General features: G+C 43.5%; 1 protein-coding gene across 13 annotated transcripts in view, besides 2 other annotated features; it reads left to right on the top strand.

Annotated features, from left to right (window-relative positions):
- Window positions 1-26775, top strand: part of ABL2 (ABL proto-oncogene 2, non-receptor tyrosine kinase) — a 130348-nt gene extending 103573 nt beyond the window's left edge. For 5 of the 13 annotated variants that reach the window (NM_001168236.2, NM_007314.4, XM_017001035.2 and 2 more), the window contains 8 exons: window positions 4238-4510; window positions 5831-5915; window positions 7341-7518; window positions 8589-8773; window positions 11075-11227; window positions 13707-13796; window positions 15650-15823; window positions 16664-26775. In NM_001168236.2, coding sequence (NP_001161708.1) covers window positions 4238-4510; window positions 5831-5915; window positions 7341-7518; window positions 8589-8773; window positions 11075-11227; window positions 13707-13796; window positions 15650-15823; window positions 16664-18387 — 2862 coding nt within the window. In that variant the 3' untranslated portion in view covers window positions 18388-26775. Of the gene's footprint in view, window positions 1-4237; window positions 4511-5830; window positions 5916-7340; window positions 7519-8588; window positions 8774-11074; window positions 11228-13706; window positions 13797-15259; window positions 15531-15649; window positions 15824-16663 lie in introns of those variants that run through there. The other 8 variants (NM_001168238.2, NM_001168237.2, NM_001168239.2 and 5 more) reach the window with 4 other exon arrangements.
- Window positions 11746-12245: an enhancer, noted in NCBI's record as "H3K4me1 hESC enhancer chr1:179082995-179083494 (GRCh37/hg19 assembly coordinates)". NCBI's record gives its function as "activates a minimal SCP1, AML or CMV promoter by ChIP-STARR-seq in primed H9 embryonic stem cells {active_cell/tissue: H9 hESC(primed)}" and the evidence as "EXISTENCE:reporter gene assay evidence [ECO:0000049][PMID:30033119]".
- Window positions 12246-12747: an enhancer, noted in NCBI's record as "H3K4me1 hESC enhancer chr1:179082493-179082994 (GRCh37/hg19 assembly coordinates)". NCBI's record gives its function as "activates a minimal SCP1, AML or CMV promoter by ChIP-STARR-seq in primed H9 embryonic stem cells {active_cell/tissue: H9 hESC(primed)}" and the evidence as "EXISTENCE:reporter gene assay evidence [ECO:0000049][PMID:30033119]".

The raw sequence follows: 27376 nt of genomic DNA, 5'->3' as shown, positions 1-27376 counted from the left end.
TCTTATAATCAGTACACAAATATACACCCAGTGCACTGGTATAGAGTTTATCAGTTAACATTGTATCATTGAAAATTAGAATAATATCTACCAGAAAGTTCACAGAGTAAGAATTTAGACTTTTGAGCTTGGTGTCGATCATTAATGTATATTAACTGAAACGGATCATTCAGTCATTGAACAGTTTGTATATTGGGAACACCAACCATGTTAGTTAGAATGGATGTGTTACAGTGTGTTTACACATTATAAACTACAGAGCATGAGCTTATGTCCGTTGGTTATCTGTTGAGCAGTAAATTTAGGTTGAATTATTTCTTCTATTCTCCTCTATGTGATAGGCAAGCTGTGGGGGAAGCACAGGCTTTGGAGCAAGCAGATCTGATTGTGACCTTACATAAGTCTCAATTTCCCTGTCTGTAATTAGATCCCACTTTATTGGGTTGTTGTAAGGATTAAATGAAGTAATTTCTGTAAAACATAATGACTGATACAAAGTAGAAAATAAGTAAATTTTTAATTTTCTTTCACTTTTGCACCAGCATACAGACATAGTATGTTTCCTCTTGACCAAACAGAACAGAATCAGATGTGTAATAATATAAGAGTGACTTAGCAGTTCTAGTTATTTACCTAATAGAAATGAGTGCATATGTGTGCCAGAAGACATGTATAGGAATGTTCATAGCAGCATTGCTTGTGATAGCCAAAAACTAGAAACACCCACAGATCTAACAACAGTAGAATGGATTAATAAATTGTGGTATATTCATAAAATGCAATTTCATTCAACAACAGAAGCGAACACAGTACTGCTACACACACCACCACCAGGTAAAACTATGGCCCTCCAGCCGTCTGCTTTTTTTTGTAAATAATATTTTATTAGAATACAGCCACACCCATTTGTTCATGTATTGTCTATGGTTTCTATTACTAGGCAGTGCTGAGTAGTTCACAGTTCTGACACACTATGGCCACAGCCTAAAATATTTATTATCTGGCCCTTATGAAGAGTTTGCTGGCCCCTACTCTAGATGAGTGTTAGCTGACTCAACAACTTCAGCAAAGTTGAAGGATTAGTATTAGCCAGGGGATGAGGATGTGGGGAGTGGGAAGGACTCCTAATAGATATGAGGTAATGAGAATGTTCTAGAGTTAGATAGTCATGATGGTTGGACAACTTTGAGAATATGCTAAAAACCATGAAATGGTATACCTTAAAATGATGAATTTTATGGTATCTGAAATATAATGCAATTTTTAAAAGTTGGGTGGAAAAAAGCAGACATAAAACAATACATATTGTGTGATTCTGTTTGTGTATAGTTCAGAAGCAGAGGCCAGGCATGGTGGCTCACACCCGTAATCCCAGCACTTTGGGAGGCCGAGGTGGGCCTCATCACTGGAGGTCAGGATGTCAGCCCCACAAACATGGTGAAACCCTGTCTCTACTACAAATACAAAAATTGGCCTGGCATGGTGGCACGCGACTGTAATCCCAGTTACTCAGGAGGCTGAGGCAGGAGAATTGGTTGAACCTGGGAGGTGGAGGTTGTAGTGAGCCAAGATCGTGCCACTGCACTCCAGCCTGGGCAACAGAGCGAGACTCTGTCTCAAAAAAAAAAAAAAAAAAAAAAGCAGAAGCTAATCTAAGATGTTAGAAGTCAGCATAGTGGCTATCTCTGCAAGGGCAAATAGCTGGAGAGCATAAGGGAGGCTTCTGGGGTGCTGATCATGTTATAATTCTTGGTGTGGGTGATGTTTACATGGGTGAGTTTACTTTGTAAAAATTATCAATTTTCTGTTTATGAATTGATACTTTATACACTAAAACAAAAGCTTCTTTTTTTTTTTTTCTTTTGAGATGGAGTCTTGCTGTGTCGCCCCGGCTGGAGTGCAGTGGCGCGATCTCGGCTTACTGCAAGTTCCGCCTCCCAGGTTCACGCCGTTCTCCTGCCTCAGCCTCCTCAATAGCTGGGACTACAGGCGCCCACCACCACGCCCGGCTAATTTTTTGTATTTTTAGTAGAGACGGTGTTTCACCATGATAGCCAGGATGGTCTCGATCTCCTGACCTCGTGATCCACCCGCCTTGGCCTCCCAAAGTGCTGGGATTACAGGCGTGAGCCACTGCGCCCGACCAAAAGCGTCTTTAAAAAAAATAAATAACAGGCTAGGCATGGTGGCCTATGCCTGTAATCCCAACACTTGGGGAGGCCAAGGAGGGTAGATCACTTGAGCCCAGGAGTTCAAGACCAGCTTGAGGAATATAGTGAAACCTCATCTCTACAAAAAATTTTAAAAATTAGCTGGGCATGGTGGCATATGTCTGTGGTCCTAGCTACTCGGGAAGCTGAGGCAGGAGGATCACCTGAACCTGGGAGGTCAAGGCTGCAGTGAGTCATGATTGTGTCACTGCACTCCAGGCCGGGCAACCGAGTGAGACCCTTATTTCTCAAAAATACATAAAAATTAAGGCTCCCTTGGGAGAGAAGTCCAGAGAATTCCCTCTTACTTTACATTTCTTATTGCTTAGCAAATTAACAACTATTTTGTAAGCAATTCTGTGAAATCCAGTGTGGCTCTTTTCTTTTTTTTAGATGGAGTCTTGCTCTGTCACCCACTCTAGAATGCAGTGGCGTGATCTCAGCTCACTGCAACCTCCACCTCCCAGGTTCAAGCAATCCTCCCACCTCAGCCTCCCAAGTAGCTGGGACTGCAGGCACGCACCACCAAGCCTGGCTAATTTTTGTATTTTTAGTAGAGAGGAGGTTTCACCATGATGGCCAAGCTGGTCTCAACTCTTGACCTCAAGTGACCTGCCCACCTCAGCCTCCCAAAGTGCTGGGATTGCAGGTGTGAGCCACTGCTCCTGGCCACCGGTAAATTGTGGCTCTTTCTTTAATGGCCTAGACACTCAACTGCACGTCATAATTAAAATTATGAGATATTTGAATACTCTTACCAAAAAAATCTAAATCAGTGGTTTTCAAGTTATGTTTTTTACAAGATTAAGGTGATATTTTGTAAATTTCTACAAGAGGCCAAGTCCTTGCTTGCCTACTTTGATCAGGGTATCTCTTCTTTACGTATCTTCTGTAGTTGAGTCCATAGTCTTGTGGCTTAAAAATATTTGAAGACTGGCCGGGCGTGGTAGTTCACACCTGTAATCCCAGCAATTTGGGAGACTGAGGCAGGCAGATCACTTGAGGTTAGGAGTTCCTGACCAGCCTGGCTAACATGGTGAAACCCCATCTCTACTAAAAATACAAAGAAAAAAATTAGCCAGGCGTGATGGCGCATGCCTGTAATCCCAGGTACTTGGGAGGCTGAGGCAGGAGAATCACTTGAACCCAGGAGGCGGAGGTTGCAGTGAGCTGAGGTCATGACACTGCACTCCAGCCTGGGCAACAGAGTGAGACTCTGTCTCAAAAAAAAGAAAAAAAGAAAAAGAAATATATATTTGAAAAAATACATAATTTGAGTATATATATATTTGAAAATATATATATATTTGAAGACCAATGAGCTTGATTATCCAGAGAGAGATCTTGGAAGGTTTTTCCCAAGACTAATTTAGGAAGAATAGGAAAGGCAGATTAAATAAGATTAAACTGAAGTTCTGTGTTTACCCTTGCAATCATCATTTAACTTTTTTATTTACCTCAATTAAGATAAACTCTTGCTGGGTATACTGGCCCAGTCTGTAATCTCAGCACCTTGGGAGGCCCAGGCAGGAGGATTGCTTGAGGCTGGCGTTTGAGACCTGCCTGGGCAATAGTGAGACCCTGTCTGCAGAATATTTTTTTTTTTTTTTTTTTTTTTAAAGATAGCCTTCTATCTATATCTTCAGGCCAGTGAAATATGGGCTTTAAAAAAGAATTCCTAGGCCGGGAGCGGTGGCTCATGCTTGTAATCCCAGCACTTTGGGAGGCTGAGGCCGGCAGATCACGAGGTCAGGAGATCAAGAACACGGTGAAACCCCATCTCTACTAAAAATACAAAAAATTAGCCGGGCATGGTGGCGGGCGCCTATAGTCCCACCTACTCAGAGAGGCTGAGGCAGGAGAATGGCGTGAACCCGGGAGGCGGAGCTTGCAGTGAGCCGAGATCGCGCCAGTGCACTCCAGCCTGGGTGACAGAACAAGACTCCATCTCAAAAAAAAAAAAAAAAAAAAAAAAAAAATTCTTAATCTCTTTTCAAGTTGTTTAGCTTTTCTCCTTTTCTTACCAGGTGTATGTGACTGCTGAGAGCCGCTTCAGCACCTTGGCAGAGCTTGTACACCATCACTCCACAGTGGCTGATGGGCTGGTGACAACATTACACTACCCAGCACCCAAGTGTAATAAGCCTACAGTCTATGGTGTGTCCCCCATCCACGACAAATGGGAAATGGAGCGAACAGATATTACCATGAAGCACAAACTTGGGGGCGGTCAGTATGGAGAGGTTTACGTTGGCGTCTGGAAGAAATACAGCCTTACAGTTGCTGTGAAAACATTGAAGGTGGGTTGCTGAGAATTACAGTTTTCAGGCATCTTTTTCTTTTGTGCTCAATCACTTGGAAATATCAGCATGCCCTTCTTTAACTTTGGAACACTTTCCACCCACTAGTGCCAAGCACATCAGCAAATTGAGATGATTAACCCTAGTGCCATTGCTGACAATGCAGAGGTAGATTATTCACTGCAATGCAGTGAAACCCACATGTGGGAAAGGTCTGTCTCTGGAGGCTGTTGATGTAGATCTTAGTGGGAGGTTAGAAGCAAATTAAAAGTTATAAAAGCAAAATAAGCTCTTTTGCTTCCTGAGAACGACCCCTGCTGGACAGAATTCTTGTCTGAGAGTCATGGGCCTCTTTCTTGTTCTGTCCTTTCTCTCCCTTGTTCTTGTTCCTCCTGTCTCTTTGCAGTTAGATCACTTCTTAATATTAACAGAAATCTTTTTCGTAGTACTACTATATGTCTCCTTTAAACATCCCAGTATCAAATTATAAGGTTTTCACTCACTTGATTCTCCCAGAGCCTCAGTAACTGTCTCTGGTGTATCACTTATAAGGGCTATTCTTTAGCTATTAAGTAGTAGTCAGTTCTGTTTCTTAAGCATATTCTGAGTGTGAAGCAATATATAAGGCCTTGCTCTCTAAGAAGATTATGATCTAAGCAAGAAGATAAGTATGTAAGCAGCTAAGTGCTCTGTCTCGTCATTCAAAGCCTGAGATATCTGGAGAAGTAAACTATGAGAGAACTGAACTATCCAATACAGGGCTCCTGTGTTTCAGTTGATTATAGGACACGATTGCTGAATTTTGCTCCTCCTGCTAATTTTTACTCCAGGGCATTTTTCTTTCTAAGTTGGACTTCTTAAAATAATAATTATTTCAGCTGGGCGTGGTGGCTCACACCTGTAATCCCAGCAATTTGGGGAGCTCAGGTGGGCGAATCACCTGAGGTCAGGAGAGCATCCTGGCCAACATTGCAAAACCCCGTCTCTACTAAAAATACAAAAAGTAGCCAGGCATGGTCGTGCATGCCTGTAATCCCAGCTACTTGGGAGGCTGAGCCAGGAGAATCGCTTGAGCCCAGGAAGCGGAGGTTGCAGTGAGATCACACCACTTCACCCCAACCTGGGTAACAGAGCGAGACCGTGTCTCAAAAAAATAAATTAAATTAAAATAATAATTATATCTTGTAATATGCTAAAATATTCAAAAGATAGTTTTTACTTTTAAAGCTGAAGCTTTATGATTGTGAGATGAATGAAATGATTTTAAGTTGAGGGTTTGTCCCTCTCGTTTTCTTCTTTCTTACCTTTCCCTTTTTCTAGGAAGATACCATGGAGGTAGAAGAATTCCTGAAAGAAGCTGCAGTAATGAAGGAAATCAAGCATCCTAATCTGGTACAACTTTTAGGTGAGGAACCTTGCCTGAACCATAGATTTCCTCCAAAAATGCTTGCCCTTTAACCCCTTGTTATCTCCAAATGCTTTTTTTTTTTCTTTTTAAATATAGAGACAGGGTCTCGCTCTGTTGTCCAGGCTGCTGTTGACGTGATACTTCCGCCTGGGCCTTTCAATATGTTGGGATTACAGGCATGAGCCACCATGCCCCGCCTTTTTTCCTCCCCCAAACCTTTCTTTTTAGTCACCATGGTGGAAGCTGCAGGTTTGAATCCACTTCAATAAATAGTTATTTTAATCAGTAGGTTCTGTGTTTAAAAATAGCCCAAGAAACAGTGGCCTGGATTGATTTTGGTGTATAAAACTGCTCAGTTTGTACTAATTGCCCCAGATTCAAAGTTCAGAAGTGTTCAAAATGGTACTGAACCAAAAACTCATGAAATGTTTTTGCAAAATAAAGAGACATTAAACAAAGGACTGTTGAAAAGAAGCAAATTAAAAACTGTGACCACACCCCTCAGTTTACCTTTACAAGCAGGAAATGCTTTATTATGTTAGATTGGCTTTTCACTGTTCAGGTCACAAAGAACTCTCTTACTAAGCCTTTTTCCTTTTTTAAAATAGGGCCAGGTTTTTTTTTTTTTCTTTTTTTTGGGGGGGTGTGGGGGGTGTTTTTTTTTGTTTGTTTTTTAAATACAGAGTCTTGCTCTGTCACCCTGGCTGGAGTGCAGTGGCATGATCCTGGCTCACTGCAACCTCCACCTCCCAGGTTCAAGCTATTCTCGTGCCTCAACGTGCATCACCACGCCCAGCTAATTTTTGTAGTAGAGACAGGGTTTTGCTATGTTGGACAGTCAAGTCTTGAACTGCTGGGCTCAGGCGATCTGCCTGCCTCAGCCTCCCAAAGTGCTAGGATTACAGGCATGAGCCACTGCACCCGGCCTCTTGTTGGTTTTTTATAAGGAATCTGCCATATATCAGTGAAATCCTTGACTATGGAAATGATGAAAATCATTTTGCAAAGCAGTATTGCAGGTGGGGCTCACATAGTCTTCAGCTTGTGCACAATTGCTATTACTTTTGAATAAGTATTGTTAGCCTGCAGTTGAGGAGGAGAATCATGGGCCATGTGCAAAACTCTAGACATGTTGGTTTTCTTGGCCCCTTATAGAATTAATACAGGTAACTCTGCTTTTGCTCAAATAGACAAATACTCAGAGGCATATGAATTCCCAGAGAACAATACAGTGAAAGCAAGGACTCCCTTATAAACCAGCTTCTTAGTTTTTGCTTATTAATTTCAGAGAACGTGGTGGTAAGAAGGGAAAAGATTATTGCCGAACTAGACCTGAAAAATTGTCAAATTATTCTTGGCCAAAGTGGTTTGGAGTGTTTGAATGTACACTAATAAAAACAAGCACTATTGTTCAACTTTTAGGTGTGTGTACTTTGGAGCCACCATTTTACATTGTGACTGAATACATGCCATACGGGAATTTGCTGGATTACCTCCGAGAATGCAACCGAGAAGAGGTGACTGCAGTTGTGCTGCTCTACATGGCCACTCAGATTTCTTCTGCAATGGAGTACTTAGAGAAGAAGAATTTCATCCATAGGTGTGTAAAACTTACCTCTGACCAACCATGAAGCCATCTTGCTTGACATGCAGATAAAAGGAAGAATGTGAGAACCTTCCCAGAAAATTTCAGATGATTCAAGAAAGTAATTTTGTATTTCACAGGGCCCATTATAATGTCACTTCTAACTTGTAAACCTACTGTACTCTGATTAAAGTATTAATAAGGGGCCTTTGCTATTCTCAAACCTGAGAACTCTCTTAAAAAAAAATTGCAATAGTGATGGGGTCTTGCTATGTTGACCAGGCTGGTCTCAAACTACTGGCCTCAAGTGATCTTCCCATCTTAGCCTTCCAAAGTGCTGGGATTATAGGTGTGAGCCACCATGCCTGGCCAGAGAGCTCTCTTTATTTTGCCAGCACTGTATCCAAGATCCTTTTTCACCATCTAGTGGCTTTTTTTTTTTTTCCTTCTTGAGACAGGCTGGCTCCATCGCCCAGGCTGGAATGCAGTGATGCGATCTTAGCTTACTGCACCCTCAGCCTCCTGGGCTCAAGCCATCCTCCCACCTCAGCCTCCTGAGTAGCTGGGATTACGGGAATATGCCACCATGCCCGGCTAAGTGTTTTTTTATGGTTTTTTTTTGTTTGTTTTGTTTTTTGTTTTTTTTTTGTAGACTGGGTTTCGCCATGTTGCCCCGGCTGGTCCTGAACTCTTGAGCTCAGGAGATACACCCACCTTGGCCTCCCAAAGTGCTAGGATTACAGGCGTGAGCCACCACACCTGGCCTAGTGGCTGAATTTTTAAAATAGTTTTCTGCATTAGTAAATAACTTAGTCTTGTAGAAAAGCATCTATTGCTCACCTATCCCAGTGTACTTATAAATAGGGACCCATTTTATAAAGCCTGCTTTATTCCGCATCTTGATGAGTGCTCTACAGTGACATATCATTAGTGGCTTTCTAAGGTGTTAGTGATTATCAGAAGATACTACCATATTTGTCAGCACTTACTTAACTCTGCCTATAACACAAAACCAAGAATAGAGTGTTCATGACCATTTTCCTCACCATCTGAATGGAATCACATTAGGGTTCTCTTTCCCACAGAGATCTTGCAGCTCGTAACTGCCTAGTGGGAGAAAACCATGTGGTAAAAGTGGCTGACTTTGGCTTAAGTAGATTGATGACTGGAGACACTTATACTGCTCATGCTGGAGCCAAATTTCCTATTAAGTGGACAGCACCAGAGAGTCTTGCCTACAATACCTTCTCAATTAAATCTGACGTCTGGGGTAAGGTTGAAAGGGACTTTTTTCTGTGTCATTTTATTTTTTTTTTTATAAATGCCTTGATTCTTTAGAGCTTCTCTTACGATGTTCAGTATCCTCTACCTTTACCTGCCATTCTTCTTCAGTTATTCAGCAAGCATTTGTTAAATACCTCCTATCTGCCAGGACTGTGTTAAGAACTTTGCATAAACAGAAGTATAGGCCTGGTGTGGTGGCTCACGTTTGTAATTACAGCACTTTGGGCCGAGATGGGTGGATCACTTGAGGTCAAGAGTTCGAGACCAGCCTGGCCAACATGGTGAACTCCCATCTCTACTAACTACAAAAATTAGCCAGGCGTGGTGGCATGCGCCAGTAATCCCAGCTATTCAAGAGGCTGAAGGCTGAGGCAGGGGAGTTGCTTGAGCCTGGAGGGCAGAGGTTGCAGTGAGCCAAGATGGCGCCACTGCACTCCAGCCTGGGCAATAGAGCGAGACTCTGTCTAAAAAGAAAAAAAAAAAAAAAAGTATAAAGAAGAAAGTTTAGGGCCAGGCACAGTGGCTCATGCCTGTAATCCCAGCACTTTGGGAGGCCGAGGCAGGTGGACAACCTGAGGTCAGGAGTTTGAGACCAGCCTGACCAACATGGAAAAACCCTGTGTCTACTAAAAATACAAAATTAGCTGGGTGTGGTGATGCATGCCTGTAATCCCAGCTACTTGGGAGGCTGAGGTAGGAGAATCACTTGAACCCGGGAGGTGGAGGTTGCGGTGAGCTGAGATCACACCATTGTACTCCAGCCTGGGCAACAAGAACAAAACTCTGTCTCAAACAAAAAAAAAAAAGAAAGAAGAAAGTTTTAAAAAAGAAGTCCCTGCCTTCAGAGAGCTCACAGTCTAGATCTCTTATTGCATTGGAGTGCTAATGATCCTCCCTCTGTAAAGCATCCTATTTCCACATTAGGTTTTTTGTTTTTATTTTTGAGACAGAGCCTTGCTCTGTTGTCCAGGCTGGAGTGCAGTGGCACAATCTCAGCTCACTGCAACCTCCCATCTCCCGGGTTCAAGCGATTCTCCTGCCTCAGCCTCCAGAGTTGCTGGGACTACAGGCATGCATCACCATGCCCGGCTAATTTTTGTCATAGTAGTAGAGATGAGGTTTTGCCATGTTGGCCAGGCTGGTCTCGAACTCCTGACCTCAAATGATCCACCTGCCTTGGCCTCCCAAAGTGTTGGGATTACAGGCATGAGCCACTGTGCTCAGCCTCACATTAGGTTTTATCACTCATTTGCAGAGTACTGTGACACAGAGCTTTTTTTTTTTTCGAGGGAAGTGTGATGAGGTTTCCTCTAGAATTTGTCCTAATTGATCTGGTTTCTACTGCTCTGAGAGGTAATATGATTTGGTTGAAGCTTAGTAGACTGAACAATCTGGAAATTTGGATTGTGGACCAATAGAAATAGTCATAGGATTCTAAGTCATTTTTTACTGGAAATCTCAAACTCAAATAACTGAGACAAAATCAAACAAATTTTTTTCTGCTCTGAATTTTATCTGATTTTAAATGAATCCATTTTTATTTTACTCCTCTTGTATTAGCTGACTTTAAAACTGTTATGCTTCTTAGATACAGTGGTTCTCCTTTATCCTCAGGAGAATACATTCTAAGACCCCCCCCTTGGATGCCTGAAACCAAGGATAGTGTCAAGCCCTGGATATATAATCTTTTTTTGATCTGATAACCGAGAGGTCTTCTCAGTGACTAAGGGGTGGGTAGCATCTACGGTGTGGATATGTTGAGTAAAAGGATGATTTATGTGCGAGGCGGGAAGGAGAAGCATGGCTTGAGAGTTCATCATGCAACTCAAGGCAGCATGCAATTTAAAACTTTAGAATTGTTTATTTCTGGAATTTTCTATTTAATATTTTTGGACCTTGGTTGACTGTGAGTAGCTGAAACTGTGGGAAGTGAAACCATGGATAAGGGGTGACTACTGTATATCAAAAACTTTTCTAAGAATAGTTGGATTATGCCTCAGACTTCTTAAATGGTCATAGTTTATTTTCCCTCATTACAGTAAAGGAAATCTAAATAAAAATTGGGAAATTTAAATAAAACTGTCTTGAGATTATCTGCAGCATTCCTGTTGCAAATATTTTAGAAGGACAAATCATGCTGTAAGAATTGATAAAAGAGTATATTATATATTAATGTTGTTGTAACAGTGTGTGAATGTTACCTAAAATATGAAAGAGAATCACCTAATTATGTAAAATAAATAATCGGAGAAGAAACACTAAGTGCTTTTTTTAATTCCTTATGCAGCTTTTGGGGTATTGTTGTGGGAAATTGCTACCTATGGAATGTCACCATATCCAGGTATTGACCTGTCTCAGGTCTATGACCTACTAGAAAAAGGATATCGAATGGAACAGCCTGAGGGATGCCCCCCTAAGGTTTATGAACTTATGAGAGCATGTGAGTATTTTTGCATGTTTTAATTTTGAAGGCATAAGCTAGCAGTTCAGAATAGTTAACAAAATTAGAAACATTTCTCCTCTCAGTGTTGTTAGATTGAATCCAGCCTCATGACATTTAAAGAGTTTATCATTGATCAGCCAGTTGTCATATCATATACCATTGAATCTTATTGGAATCCTAAGCATAGTTGTTATGGCCCAAATATTGACCCAGTTTCTCAGAGACATTTGCATATTTAATAAGATAAGAAATTGAGTTTAGAGATTAAGGTGGGGAGGGCCGTTTTCAACTAGATAAAAATGATTGCTAAAGACTATGAAGAATGCATAAAAATAACCTCTGTGTAGATAAACAGAAGCATCCGATTGCTTGCAGATGAAAAAGTAGGAAAGTGAATAGTGGATTAAATTGCAGGGTTTTGTTTGTTTGTTTATTTGTGTTGTTGTTTTTCAAACACTCTTGCTTTGTTGCCCAGGCTGGAGTGCAGTGACGTGATTTCGGCTCAGTGACGTGATTTCGGCTCACTGAAACCTCTACCTCATGGGTTCAAGTGATTCTCATGCCTCAGCCCCTCAGTAGCTGGAACCACAGGCACGCACACCATGCCCAGCTAATTTTTTTTTTTTTGAGACGGACTCTCACTATGTTGCCCATGCTGGAGTGCAGTGGCACAATCTTTGCAACCTCCGTCCCCCAGGTTCAAGCGATTCTCCTGCCTCAGCCTCCCAAGTTGCTGGGATTACAGGCACCTGCCACCACGCCTGGCTAATTTTTGTATTTTTGGTAGAGATGGGGTTTTGGCATGTTGGCCAGGCTGGTCTTGAACTCCTAACCTCAAGTGATGCGCCCGCCTTAGCCTCCCAAAGTGCTGGGATTACAGGCATGAGCCACCACGCCCGGCCTAATTTTTGTATTTTTATTTATTTATTTATTTATTTTTTGAGACGGAGTCTCGCTCTGTCGCCCAGGCTGGAGTGCAGTGGCGCGATCTCGGCTCACTGCAAGCTCCACCTCTCGGGTTGATGCCATTCTCCTGCCTCAGCCTCCTGAGTAGCTGGGACTATAGGCGCCGGCCGCCACCACGCCCGGCTAATTTTTTTTGCATTTTTTAGTAGAGACGGGGTTTCACCGTGTTAGCCAGGATGGTCTCCATCTCCTGACCTCGTGATCCGCCTGCCTCGGCCTCCCAAAGTGCTGGGATTACAGGCTTGAGCCACAGCACCCGGCCTGTACTTTTAGTAGAGACAAGGTTTCACCATGTTGGCCAGGCTGGTCTCGAACTCCTGGTCTCAAGTGATCTGCCCGACTCAGTCTCCCAAAATGCTGGGATTACAGATGTGGGCCACCAGGCCTGGTCCTAATTGCAGTTGTGTTTGAACATAAGTCTGTGTTGTTTCCTCATTGAACATTGACGTTCTCTGTTGCACTTTGTCAAAAATGAACTCTGAGATCCTCCTTTTTGATATCCTTTTATATTTCTGAATGTATACAGTTGATTATATGGTTAGGCTGAGTTTGAAGACAGGTTTTACTTCTTTTATTTTCAAGTGGAAGAAAACTTGCCATTTTCTAAAACATCTCCTTGTTTCTCCTCATCCTTTTATTAGAGGGAATAGGAGCTGAGGCTAAATCGAAGCACCAGCCTTAGAAAGTGGGTTAATGGCCAGGTGCAGTGGCTCACACCTGTAATTCTAGCAGTTTGGGAGGCCGAAGTGAGCAGATTGCTTGAGCTCAGGAGTTCAAAAGCAACCTGAGCAATGTGGCAAAATCCCATCTACATAAAAAATACAGTAGCTTGAGATCGCTGTGTGTGCTCACTTTGGCTGGGTGCAGTGGCTCAAGCCTGTAATCCCAGCGCTTTGGGAGGCTGAGGCGGGTGGATCACCTGAGGTCAGGGGTTCGAGACCAGCATGGCCAACATGGCGAAACCCCTGTCTACTAAAAATACAAAAATTAGCCGGACGTGGTGGCGTGCGCCTGTAGCCCCAGCAAATCGTGAGGCTGAGGCTGGAGAATCACTTGAACCCAGGAGGCAGAGGTTGCAGTGAACCGAGATCGCGCCACTGCACTCCAGCCTGGGTGACAGAGTTAGATTCCGTCTCAAAAAAAAAAAAAAAATTAGCTGGGCGTGGTGTTGCACACCCATAGTCCCAGCTACTTGGGGAGCTGAGGCAGGAGGATTGTTTGAACCCAGGAGGTCAAGGCTGCAGTGAGTTGAGATCATGCCAGCTGCACTCCAGCCTGGGTGACAAAGCAAGACCCTGTCTCAAAGAAAAAGAAAAAAGGAATTTAGAAAGTGGGTTCATTATACCTCTGAGTCTAGAGCTGAGAAGTGGCTATGTTGCTATCATTGTGAACATGCTGTAACTGTACTTTAATAAGTGTGCATCATGATGCATAGAACTCATTATTAGATACACCACTGGATATTGAATTTCTGCAAGGAGTTTTTAATATTTTTTCTTCTGTTACATAGGCTGGAAGTGGAGCCCTGCCGATAGGCCCTCTTTTGCTGAAACACACCAAGCTTTTGAAACCATGTTCCATGACTCCAGCATTTCTGAAGGTGAGAATCTGTTGGATTTACTGTTGGTGACTAATTCTGGGTAGTGGTGGTGGTGGTGATAATGGTAATTACATTTCAAAAATGATCAACTTTTGTGGAGTTTGAGACTCTGTTTCAACTTTTAACTACAAGGACATTGCATCAGAGTATAGTTTATAATAGTGAGAAATTATGAACAACTTATATATCTAGTGGACTGTAAATTATTACAACCATATAGCTGAATATTTAAAATGATATTCATATATATACTTTTTTTTTTTTGAGATGGAGTCTCACTCTATCACCCAGGCTGGAGTGCAGTGGTGCGATGTCAGCTCACTGCAACCTCCACCTCCCAAGTTCAAGCAATTCTTGTGCCTCAGCCTCCTGAGTAGCTGGGATTGCAGGCACCTGCTACCACACCTGGCTAATTTTTGTTATTTTTAGTAGAGATGGGGTTTCGCCATGTTGGCCAGACTGCTCTCGAACTCTTAACCTTAAGTGATCCACCCACTTCAGCCTCCCAAAGTGCTGGGATTACATGTGTGAGCCACAGCGCCCGGCCTTCTTGGATATATTGACATGGAAAGTAGTTAAAGGTTAACTTTAACTTAGTAAACGAGGATATCCATATGTCCAATAACCATGTTTAACATTACTCATCATAGAGAAATACAAAATAAAACCACACTGAGATACCAATCCACAGCCTACCAAAAAGGCTAAAATTAAAATCAGGCTTGGCAGGCACAGCAGCTCACACCTGCAATCCCAGCACTTTGGGAGGCTGAGGTAGGTGGATCAGTTGGGGTCAGCAGTTGGAGACTAGCGTGGCCAACATGGTGAAACCCCGTCTCTACTAAAAATACAAAAACTAGCCAGGCGTGATGGCAGGCGCCTGTAATCCCAGCTACTTGGGAGGCTGAGGCAGGAGAATCACTTGAACCCGGGAGACGGAAGTTGCAGTGAGCTGAGATCGCACCTCTGCACTTTAGCCTGGGCAACAGAGCAAGACTCCCTGTCAAAAAAAAAAAAAAAAAAAAAAGACTGAGCACTGTGGTTCACACCTGTAATCCCAGCACTTTGGGAGGCTGAGGCGGGTGGATCACAAGTTCCGGAGTTCGAGACCAGCCTGGCCAACATGGTGAAACCCCATCTCTACTGAAAATACAAAGAATAGCTGGGTGTGGTGGCGGGCTCCTGTAATCCCAGCTATTTGGGAGGCTGAGACAGGAGAATCGTTTGAACATCGGAGGCAGAGGTTGCAGTGTGCTGAGATCACGCCATTGCACTCCAGCCTGGGCAACAGGGTGAGACTCCATCTGCAAAAAAAAAAAAAAAAAAAAGCCAAAAATAATAACATCAAATTTTAGCAAGCATGCAGAGTAACCACAGCTTTCATGCAAAATAGTATCGCTATTTGGGGACAGGTTGGCAGGGCCTAATAAACCTGAATACACGTATACCCTGTGATCCACCAGTTCTCCTACATTGTGCCAATCAGACGTGCATAACATTGTGAACCAAAAGACACAGAGCAGGATGATGCTAGCAACGTATTCATAGTAACTCCAAACTGGAAACAACCTAAACATCCATCAAGAGGAGAACAGGTGGATTGTGGTATATTCACACGTTGGCATGCTACACAGCAATGAGAACCCCTGCCACATGCAGCAGCGTGGACGAATCTACACACATGATACTGGGCGAAAGAAGCCAGACAAAAGAGTACATACTTTATGATTCCGTGTATGTATTTTAGTACTCTACTTGCCAGTTCTTTCTCAGTTGTGTGCCTTTTCTGAAAAGAACTCCCTTTTTCTGCTATGAAATTGTTCTTTTTATTGGTCCCCTTGTCTTCCTCACAGAGGTAGCTGAGGAGCTTGGGAGAGCCGCCTCCTCGTCATCTGTTGTTCCATACCTGCCCCGGCTACCTATACTTCCTTCCAAGACTCGGACACTGAAGAAACAGGTGGAGAACAAGGAGAACATTGAAGGGGCACAAGATGCCACAGAAAATTCTGCTTCCAGTTTAGCACCAGGTATGGGTCCCTTAGCAGGTAGAATCAAAATAGAAACTGCCTTGTTTAAAGAAGCATGGGGTGTGAGGCTTTTATGTCCACTTTCATGCCCGTCCTCCCTGGGGAAAGCATGGCGTCTCTTTTACCCACCCATGAAGCCCTTGGCTATCCATCCAACATACAACTCTGGCTCCAGTTTCATCTCCGTACCCCTGGGTTCCCAAGTATGTATCATCTTTACAGTTCCATCAAAAACTTCGCTGAACCCGATAGAGGAGAAGAGGTTGCGCAGTGGTTTTTAAAGAAAGGATGAGTGTTGAGGTAATAACCAGCAGGTTATCTCCTCCCCCATTTTTTTTTTCTTTTTTTTTTTTTGAGACGGAGTCTCACTGTGTCGCCCAGGCTGGAGTACAGTGGTGCGATCTCGGCTCACTGCAAGCTCCGCCTTCTGGGTTCACGCCATTCTCCTGCCTCAGCTTTCCGAGTAGCTGGAACTACAGGCGCCCGCCACCATGCCCAGCTAATTTTTTGTAGTTTTAGTAGAGATGGGGTTTCATCGTGTTAGCCAGGATGGTCTTGATCTCCTGACCTCCTGATCCTCCTGCCTCAGCCCCCCAAAGTGCTGGGATTACAGGCGTGAGCCACCGTGCCCGGCCCCCTATCTTCCCCCATTTTTAACTTACATCACATTTGGAACACCAGTCACTGTGAAATGATAATGTATTTATTATTTGCTTCTGAGTCCTGCCAACACCTGACCTTTGATAAATGCTGACAAAACTCATAATGCAGCCTCGGTAACTCAAATGTAATAGATTCACTTCTTGTCTTTTAAGTTACTGATCGGCCATTTCTCATCAGGGTTCATCAGAGGTGCACAGGCCTCTAGTGGATCCCCAGCACTGCCTCGAAAGCAAAGAGACAAGTCACCCAGCAGCCTCTTGGAAGATGCCAAAGAGACATGCTTCACCAGGGATAGGAAGGGGGGCTTCTTCAGCTCCTTCATGAAGAAGAGAAATGCTCCTACACCCCCCAAACGCAGCAGCTCCTTCCGAGAAATGGAGAATCAGCCCCATAAGAAATACGAACTCACGGGTAACTTCTCATCTGTTGCTTCTCTACAGCATGCTGATGGGTTCTCTTTCACTCCTGCCCAGCAAGAGGCGAATCTGGTGCCACCCAAGTGCTATGGGGGGAGCTTTGCACAGAGGAACCTCTGTAATGACGACGGTGGTGGGGGTGGGGGCAGTGGCACTGCTGGGGGTGGGTGGTCTGGCATCACAGGCTTCTTTACACCACGCTTAATCAAAAAGACACTGGGCTTACGAGCAGGTAAACCCACAGCCAGTGATGACACTTCCAAGCCTTTTCCAAGGTCAAACTCTACATCTTCCATGTCCTCAGGGCTTCCAGAGCAGGATAGGATGGCAATGACCCTTCCCAGGAACTGCCAGAGGTCCAAACTCCAGCTGGAAAGGACAGTGTCCACCTCTTCTCAGCCAGAAGAGAATGTGGACAGGGCCAATGACATGCTTCCAAAAAAATCAGAGGAAAGTGCTGCTCCAAGCAGGGAGAGACCAAAAGCCAAGTTATTGCCCAGAGGAGCCACAGCTCTTCCTCTCAGAACACCCTCTGGGGATCTAGCCATTACAGAGAAGGACCCTCCAGGGGTGGGAGTGGCTGGAGTGGCAGCTGCCCCCAAGGGTAAAGAGAAGAATGGTGGGGCACGACTTGGGATGGCTGGAGTTCCAGAGGATGGAGAGCAGCCGGGCTGGCCTTCTCCAGCCAAGGCTGCCCCCGTCCTCCCAACCACTCACAACCACAAAGTGCCAGTCCTTATCTCACCCACTCTGAAACACACTCCAGCTGACGTGCAGCTCATTGGCACAGACTCTCAGGGGAATAAATTCAAGCTCTTATCTGAGCATCAGGTCACATCCTCTGGAGACAAGGACCGACCCCGACGGGTAAAACCAAAGTGTGCCCCACCCCCACCACCAGTGATGAGACTACTGCAGCATCCGTCCATCTGCTCAGACCCTACAGAAGAGCCAACTGCCCTAACTGCAGGACAGTCCACATCAGAAACACAGGAAGGAGGAAAGAAGGCAGCTCTGGGCGCAGTGCCCATCAGTGGGAAAGCTGGGAGGCCAGTGATGCCTCCACCTCAAGTGCCTCTGCCCACATCTTCCATCTCGCCAGCCAAAATGGCCAATGGCACAGCAGGTACTAAAGTGGCTCTGAGAAAAACCAAACAGGCCGCTGAGAAAATCTCAGCAGACAAAATCAGCAAAGAGGCCCTGCTGGAATGTGCTGACCTACTGTCCAGTGCACTCACGGAACCTGTGCCCAACAGCCAGCTGGTAGACACTGGACACCAGCTGCTTGACTACTGCTCAGGCTATGTGGACTGCATCCCTCAAACTCGCAACAAATTTGCCTTCCGAGAGGCTGTGAGCAAACTGGAACTCAGCCTGCAGGAGCTACAGGTTTCTTCAGCAGCTGCTGGTGTGCCCGGGACAAACCCTGTCCTTAATAACTTATTGTCATGTGTACAGGAAATCAGTGATGTGGTGCAGAGGTAGCCACTGTTAGCCTGGTGGGAAAATGCACACATTTCTGAGGGGAGAGGGAAAAGGACTTGTTTTCCTGTGTTCTTGTTTTCAGAAAATGAAAGACTCATACTTGAGTGTGTTTATGTGAAGTACCTCAGATCCCTGAGTTCTCACGTTTACAGTTTCATCTCAAAAATAAGAAGCAAACCACATAAGTATAGGAGAGGTAAATTAAGTGGGGGCAAGGCAGTAGTGGACAGGGTTGGAAACTGCACTGGAAAATAGGGAACATGTGTATGTCATAAGGAAGGCAATGCAGCCCATCCCTACCTGGAATGCTGGGAAGTGCTAGGCAGGGCTGCTCTCAGCAAGACTGCAGCAGCTGCACCCAGACCTGGGGCTCTGGTAGGTACTAATGGTGATTATGCTCCAATTTACCTAATGAATTTGGTGGGACAGCAGAAAAGAAAGCTGGGAATGTACCAAGAGAAATTTTTGTTCAGGGCTGTTGGAAGTAGCTGTTAGCCTTGCTTCCACAAGGCCATTGCTGCTGTAATAAGAACTGCAAATCAGAGTGCTACAACATAAAACTGGGAAATATGGCCCTATCTGAATGCCTCTGTCCTATTTTCCGCTGGTGTATCAGTTAGTGCAGGAAGTAAAGAATGCTGGAAAGTTGAATCAGAAATTGAAAACCTTCTAAAATCTTACACAGATTAGCAGAAGTCACTTCTCCCAGTCTGGTATATTATTTCATAATGGACCAGGATCGGCTTCCTGCCTGTTGGTGGCTATCTGTAAACCATAAGTACAGGGGTCTCCCTAGTGGTTCTTCTCTGTCTTTTGCTGGGCAGGCTGTCTTCCTTTATTCCTGGTAGCATTCAGAGCATTAACCAGTGTTGATTTTGAAAATAGTAGTCCCTACAGGTTCTCACAAAGGAATGAATCCTGTTCTGATACAGTTCCCCTGCATACTGACATACTGGCCAAGGACTTGAGCAGCTGTGTATTTTTCTTTATCAACTAAAATACCAGGGAGATGGTCTTTTCTTGAAACCCAGTGGCCTGTATGTGACTGAGAGGAAAAGCTGGCTTGGTCCTAATGGCTGTTTCTCTGTACCTTTCCCTTCCCTTACCACCTTAAGCCCAATCCAGGTAGAGAATAGGGAGAGGCATTCTCCTCTCTATGGATTTGAAGTGAATCACCCCCACATTATTCTCACATGCTTTTCTTCTCTCACATATTCCTCCCTACTCCCCCACCCAATCATTGTGCTTATTTGTACAGATCTTATTGGGAATATTCTTTATTTATTTTGTCATTTCACTTCTATTTTAAGAATGCATAATTGAAGGAGTAGTCATTTTCAGGGAGCACCAGGTAGACCCTGGGAACCTAATGACTTAATCCTTAAATATGTTTTGCCCTTGAAAAATAGGCCTTTTCCTTCCTTCCTTAGTTATAATTGTGGAAGCTAATTAGGATGGCATGGAAGTGAATCTAATGAGTTAGGTATTATTAATGTTCTTGGTATCGGGTCTAATTCCAGTTACTGCTTCATTCTCTTTTTAAAGCTTTATGAATACTTCCCCCATCCTCCCCAAGGAGAGCTCAATACACACATATTTTTATTTTATTCTCTCAAAGGAATATTAGCTTAGGAAGATAGGAATTCAACATTGAGCACTGAGTTTTCTTCTGGCTCTGTCATTGATACACTGTCAAACCACAGCCTCATCTCTTAATCTATTTAATTAAGGTAACAGTACATGTTCTCAAGGGTGTTGCAAGTAAGTGTGCAGCTATCCCTTGGAGAGCCTCTCTGGAAAGCTCTTTTAGTGCAGTGTTGTTATGCTGAATTGTTTTCCATTATCTTATTTGCTGAGTAGAAAATATTAATGAAATTAAGAATTGTTGAGATTATATGAATTGGGCTAGAATACTAAGGGGAAAACTATGTTTTGAATAGAGTTTGGCATTTTTGACCAAGAACAAAATTGAGTTTTCATTGGAAAGAAAGGAAACCTTGATTCTTACCATTGCTGCTCCAAAGGAGGCCCAGGTTAAGAGGATTAGAGGAGACACGCGGTGCTGGGCATTCCTGGCAGGTGTTGGGTGATCCCCGCAGTATGTCACCTGCAGTTGCAGCACAGGCAGCTAGTGATTGGGTTCATCTCCTCCTAGTGGTTGGAAGAGAACTCAGATGTAAAAACCAGCGGTCCTTCTCCCACCTTCTTTCCTGCCATTCTTGCTCATCATACATGTCCGTAAACTTGAAGAACTCGTTTTAGCAGCTAGCCTTTTAAGGTCGAGGATGGGAAAGCTAAAACTGTAGAATATTATTATGCTGCTTTTTAGGTTTATCCCTGTTGTTGTGGGATGCAAGTTAAGGGATTGTAATTGTTTTTCAGGGTTTTTTTGTTTTTTGTTTTTTAAGCAAGGGCTCTATTTTCCCTTGAGAGTTCTGGAACTAAGCCTTGGAGAAACACTACTGAGTGTATTTAGGCTCCCTGGTTTTCTTGCCCAACAACAATCTGAAGGGTAGGGGGTGGGGGCTGTGTCTTACTCAGGGGCAGCACCTAGCTGTCTTGCCTACAGTGGGTGCACGATATATAAATGGAATTGATTTTTGTCAACACTGTCAAGAGTGGCATTGACTATTGGAGCATACCCCGTCCACATGATGCTTGAACTATGTAACTTCAGGGGTTGAGGGCTCAAGGTTCAGGTTAAAGAGGCACTGTCAACTTACTATACAAGCATAATTTAGGTTTTTCCTTTTTCTACTTGAAAAGGACCAGCTTAAACACAAACCCTTATGTAAATTAAAAGGTTTGAATCCAAAGCAGAGAGAACTGCTTCTGGAAAAGTGTAGTTTAATTTTAACTATTCTAAAAGCAATGAGCAAAGGCCCTTGTCCAAGGCGTTGACAGTTTTCTAAAGTGGTTATGCTGTATATCTGGATGCATGCCTTTGGGCTGCCACTGCTTGATTCCTTTCATGTACAGATAATATTACTTCAGTTTAGATTTCCCACTTTAAAATGCAGTGATTTGTGTTGAATACATCTTGATTGTGCTTTACCTAAAGTATTTTCTTAAAAGGCTTTGTGTAAAATTTAAATGTATATATTTTCCTGTAGACTTCCATCATGATTTTCAGAGATTAGCCTTAAAAAATTTGGCCCTAAGAAATTCATTCAGTGTTTTTCTAGATGACCTCTGTACATAGAGGTCATTATAGTGGAGACCCTTTACCAGCAGCATTTTAAGATTTAAATTAGATAGAAAGTTTCTTAGGATTCAACTGAAAATTGGCTAGTAAAATATGTCCCAGGTAATAAAGCATGCTGACTTTGCTAAGGCACTGCCCATTTTTATTTAACTAAAGTCATGGAGATTTTGAGTTTAAAGGATGCAGTATAGATAGTGGTTTAGTGTTTAGGCTCTAATGCCAGTCTAAAAGGCAAGTCATTTAACCTTGGGAGCCTCAGTTTCCTCACTGTAAAACAGGGATAATAATAGTAACTACCTCAGGGTTGTTGTAAGGATTAAATGAGATGATATTTGTAAGATACTTAGCTCAAGTGCCTGGCACACAATGAGCACACTCTATAAATGTTCTACTACTACTATTATTAACACCTAGTCTAGGGATGCACAGCAGAATCCCCTAGGGTTAAAAAACAAAACAAAACAAACAAAAAAAACTGACGGAATAGCCCCACTCCAGATCAGAATTCCCAGTGGGCTGGGGTCTCGGCCAGTGTATTCTCCAGTAATCTCGCCAGGTGTTTGAAACACCCAGTGCTATCTGAAAACTATCAGTACCCCAACCCTTTGGTTTATAGATTAAGAAACTAGCAGAAGATGGTTAAATTACTTGCCTATTGTCTCAGAACGGTTAATTAGTGGCGGAGCCAAGGCTAGAATTCAAGTCTCTTGACTTTATGGTTGTGGGGTCTTTCCACCATACCTGCTGCCATGTGAGACACTGCAAAAAAGTGGCTCAGACCGACAATCAGCCTGTGTGGTGCTGCACACTTTCTAAAGCACATGCTCCTGACACTTTGACCTTAAGGGGCTTGAATGTGGAGTAATGGGAACACAAGCCAAGCAAGCACTCAGTAGAATTCAGTCATTTAAAAAATTCAATGGGGTCATTCTTTTGGACAGACCTCAGCAACACAGCAATGTGCACTTTGTAGTAAAGAAATACCAACTTGAGTTTTTAAAAAACCTAGTTAGTCCTACATTCCCTTTTCTTTAAAAAAACTTTATTGTTCACATTATTTTAATGACTATGAGATAATGTATATGACAGCACTTTGAGAAAATATCAACTGTAATATAACTATAAGGTTGTAGTATTGTCTGTTTAAAAGATAAGACAGTTGATTCAATGTGGATGGACCCTGTGGGGTACCTGAAAATGTAGATACGTAAGAATCACCTCTGTCATTTATCACATTTAGAAATATGAAACTGCTTAACAGGTATGAGCAGGTATAGCAAGTGTTTGCTAAAGTTGTAGTTCAGAGCTGAATTACTTCAGGAAACTAGGGACCAACTTTTTGGTTTAATTCCGATCTTTAAAAAGTAAGAATGTGTACTCACTCCAGAACACAGAAGCTCTTCCAAGGACCTTGACTCAAGAAGGATGAGGTCCTCTTACTCTTCTCCATTTATCCACTATATGCTTGGCCATTTATCCTAAATGTGGTGGGAACAGACTTGTTATCTGTTGATGTTGACAGTGTCTTTTTTAACCTATGTCCTGCATAGTTTTGTTAGGTTTACAGGGGGAGGTGGATGGCCATAAAACCAGTGCACTTTGGGAATTACTTTTCTAGGATTTCCTACCAGTTATAAATGACATTGACATTTGTCATCTTTTTTTTCTTTTTCTAAAAAGAATAGCTGAATTTAATTCACCTATTATAAAATACTCAAAAGTAAATTGCCTTGGTGGCCACTTCTGAATTATAGCTACATTTCATTATGACCCCTTCTGCTCCCTTCCATTTTGCTACTGATGTCATTCTTGTTATCAGGCTGTGCCCCTACCAGGAGTTCATATTGGGTTGACAGGGTTATCTATATTTTTGTTCTTGATTTTTGAGTTTCATCATCTTGCATTAAATTGTTCCACCTGGATTTGGGGTTCATCTCTGTGCCCTAAGGATCTGCTATGACCAATCCTCTTTTTGTAGGTGGGTCTCTGGCTTAAGTATTGATAGGCTTCAGCGGTTTGTGTCTCTGTCTTAGCTTGTATCAAGCCAGTAGTAGCTCACTTCCTTTGTAAATTCCTGCTTCAGTCTGGGATCCGTAGGAGTATGTGAGAACTTCTGAAACGTCTCCAACTCTTAACAGTCAAGATATCTATATCATTTGGATAGAGTTCTGGTTTTCCAACTACTAGACTTAAAGAAATTCTGGCCGGGTGCGGTGGCTCACGCCTGTAATCCCAGCACTTTGGGGGGCTGAGGCGGGTGGATCACGAGGTCAGGAGATTGAGACCATCCTGGCTAACACGGTGAAACCCCACCTCTACTAAAAATACAAAAACTTAGCTGGGCGTGGTGGCGGGCGCCTGTAGTCCCAGCTACTGGGGAGGCTGAGGCAGGAGAATGGCGTGAACCCAGGAGGCGGAGCTTGCAGTGAGCCCAGATCGCGCCACTGCACTCCAGCCTGGGTGACAGTGAGACTCCGTCTCAAAAAAAAAAAAAAAAAAAAAAAAAAAAAAAAAAAGAAATTCTAATGCAAAGCTTGCTTTTTTTTTCTTTTTTCCAGCAAGCCAGTAGTAATAGTTATTGTTACTTGCTCTGTTCAGCACAACTGTAGTTCACTTGAACTTCACTGTCATTCCCTACGCTCCTCTCTTACTGAGAAGCATGGGTGGGATTCAGGGCTGTGGGACAAGCTACAGCCTACTCTGGAGCACTCACCCCCATGACTCAGTCCAGCCTGTCTCTTGGGAAGTTTATTGCAATGTGCAGACGGATGAATTTCTGCTTTTCATGCCACCTCTCTGAGGTATGTATTCTATCTTGAGTATGTACAAGATGATACCTTTTGGCTGGGCACAGTGGCTCGTGCCTGTAATCCCAGCACTTTGGGAGACCAAGATGGGCGGATCACTTGAGGTCAGGAGTTTGAGACCAGCCTGGCCAACATGGTGAAACCCCGTCTCTACTAAAAATATAAAAATTAGCCGGGCGTAGTACATGCCTGTAATCCCAGCTACTCCCGAGGCTGAGGCAGAATTGCTTGAACCCAGGAGGCGGAGGTTGCAGTGAGCTGAGATCGCGCCGCTGCACTCCAGCCTAAGTGACAGAGTGAGACACGTTAAGAAGAAAAAAAAAAAAAAGGATACCTTCATTTCTGACTCAATATCCTAGATCCAAAGGACAGGAAATTAGGGAAGGCTTCACCCTGTGGGATCAAGATAAGAAGATCCCATACTTCTTCCCAGGTAAGGAGGCCTGTGGCAGGTCATGATTCAAAGCTGACTTGGAATGGCAGAAACTGCTGAGAGGCCACCCTTGGAGATTTGTGCCTTCAAAGATGGGTTTCATGAGTCTCAGAGAGGAAAAGACTTGTCAGCTGGGTTGATTTTGCATGATTATTGAACTAGAGCTGGTAGACACGAGCTTCTCAGATGGCAGTGGCCAGATCCTCCATCTGTGAGAATCCGCCACTTGAAGTGGTTTCCTGAGAGTGTTCACTTGGCAGTTGCTGCGTTTCTCAAGCCCACCTGGCGAGGTCTCGCCGGACCCTTCCCTCCAAGTGCACTTACTTCTTCATCCCCATGTACATCTCTAACTTTGAAATTGTTTACCTCTCCTACAAAAATCTTACCTTTTGACCTGAGCAGAGTAGCAAAGCCCTGTTCACTCTGAGGGAGCAGCTGGCGTGTTGAAGGGGAAAGGCCAGGCACAGCACTGTCCTCAGACCACACCATATTTGGAGCAGAATTGTGATACATGTCATCTGTGTCTATTCTGGAAGGTTCTTTGTTCATCACTGTACTCGCATCAGCAAATTTTCAGGGTCCTACCTGTCACTCCAGGCTACTGAGCTGAACCCTCAGAAGCTGAGGTCTCCGAGCATGCTAAGTAACCTTTTAGAAAAGCTGGAGGCAAACTGTCGAATGCTAGCAGGCTTTATGAAAGGAAACATAAGGAGTTTGTGTAGTCAGAACTTGCTTAAATTTGCTTCGGAATTAGGCACCATAAACTTTAGTTGGAGAATGGGACTTAAATTTTCACATATATGTATACTTAATTTTCAGCAATTATGACACAATAAAAAGAATATGCAAATTTATTGTTGTTTCAGAAGGTTTTGCAGGACTGGGAACGCTTTAGTGTCATCAACAGTAAACCTCAGATACTGTTCTGCACAGTTCAGAAGTACCATACCAGGTATTGTGAGTGGCAAGAACGCCAGGGGACAGAGATGCTTCTGGTAGATGAGGGCCAGAGAAACCAGCTCTCCTCCATTTTGACAGCAATTTCTCACTGTGGCCATTTGGCCTCCATTATGTTTTGAGAGGAATTTCTTGAGATCTTGAGAAATCACCATGATTAGGCCAATTGTCAATCAGTATTCAGAAACTAGAAAGGAACAATGAGATACTTGTTTATGGTTCTTTAGGGCATATGTTTGAAAACCCTCTCATCTCAGATCTGTATAGCTGGTGTGTGTTTGTGTCCATAAATACACGTGCATTGCTGTCGTGCCCATTAAGAAAGGGGGAGTAAGTAAAAGAGGAATCGCTCAGATCTTTCCTTGGATGAACAGCAGTGGCGTGGTTGGTGTGTTGACTGTGAACAGGCTGACTTAGCTGTTGATGTATACTCAGAACCTCCATCTCCTCCCAGACCCTGCACTTTTCCTTCTCTGCAGTCTGATTCTCTAATGACTGTCACTGGACAAACCCCAGTTTTATGCTCGCTTAGTAAAAATAAGTTTAAACATTTCATGGTGGTTGACAGAACTTTGTCCCCAAACATGCGGATTCAATTCTTTAAAACTCGTTGAACGTTTATACCAAAGGTCCCGCCCCGCAGGTGTGTATGTGGTGCACAGAGGGTGAGGTTTGGAGCATCGGGCACTGTGTGCATTGCTAAGGGGACATAGTGAGACAATGTGGGATTTAACTAAAAACACATCAATTGTGTGTCACATTACCAGTGTTGTCAGGTATTTGTTCTTAATTGTTATTGTAATATATTTTCAGTTGTTTTTCTAATTTAATTCTCTCCGTCTGTTGTCTGACTGTGAACTGCTAACAGTGTTAAACTTGATGTAAATAAATGAGGCCCTTGAAAGGGACTGCTTTCTCTGTCTTCTCACAAGGTTTGCCAAGTTGTGTTCTGTTTTAAATAAAGGTTGCAATATTTTATTGGCAAAGTAGGCTGGAGATTGGAGTGTTTCTCCCATGATTTTAGTTGACAGGGAGTCTAAGCAGCATTTCTTTCTCTCTCTGTAATGCAGATGTCTATAAGGTAAAGAAGCTGATTTTAGCAAGCATCCCTCTGGCACATTCTTTTTTTTTTTGAGACTGAGTCTCGCTCTGTCGCCCAGGCTGGAGTGCAGTGGTGTGATCTCGGCTCACTGCAAGCTCCGCCCCCTGGGTTCACACCATTCTCCTGCCTCAGCCTCCCGAGTAGCTGGGACTACAGGCGCCCGCCACCACGCCCGGCTTAGTTTTTGTATTTTTAGTAGAGACGGGGTTTCACCATGTTAGCCAGGATGGTCTCGATCTCCTGACCTCATGATCCACCCACCTCTGCCTCCCAAAGTGCTGGGATTACAGGTGTGAGCCACCGCACCCAGCCTGGCACATTCTTTAGAATGTCCTCTGCGGGGGTGAATACTCATCCTTTGATGGATTACATTTTTGGAAGTGAACAAAAGGCATCATCTGGAGTCCAGGCTGCTGTGCATAAGGTGGGTAATGTGTTTGTTTGTGTGTCTTCAACATGAAGCGACTGTCAAGTGAAATTTAATT

This window comes from Homo sapiens, chromosome 1 (assembly GCF_000001405.40).
Source record: "Homo sapiens chromosome 1, GRCh38.p14 Primary Assembly".
NCBI lineage: Eukaryota > Metazoa > Chordata > Mammalia > Primates > Hominidae > Homo > Homo sapiens.
Note: the sequence above shows the minus strand (reverse complement) of the source record. Positions and strands in the feature narration are given on the sequence as shown.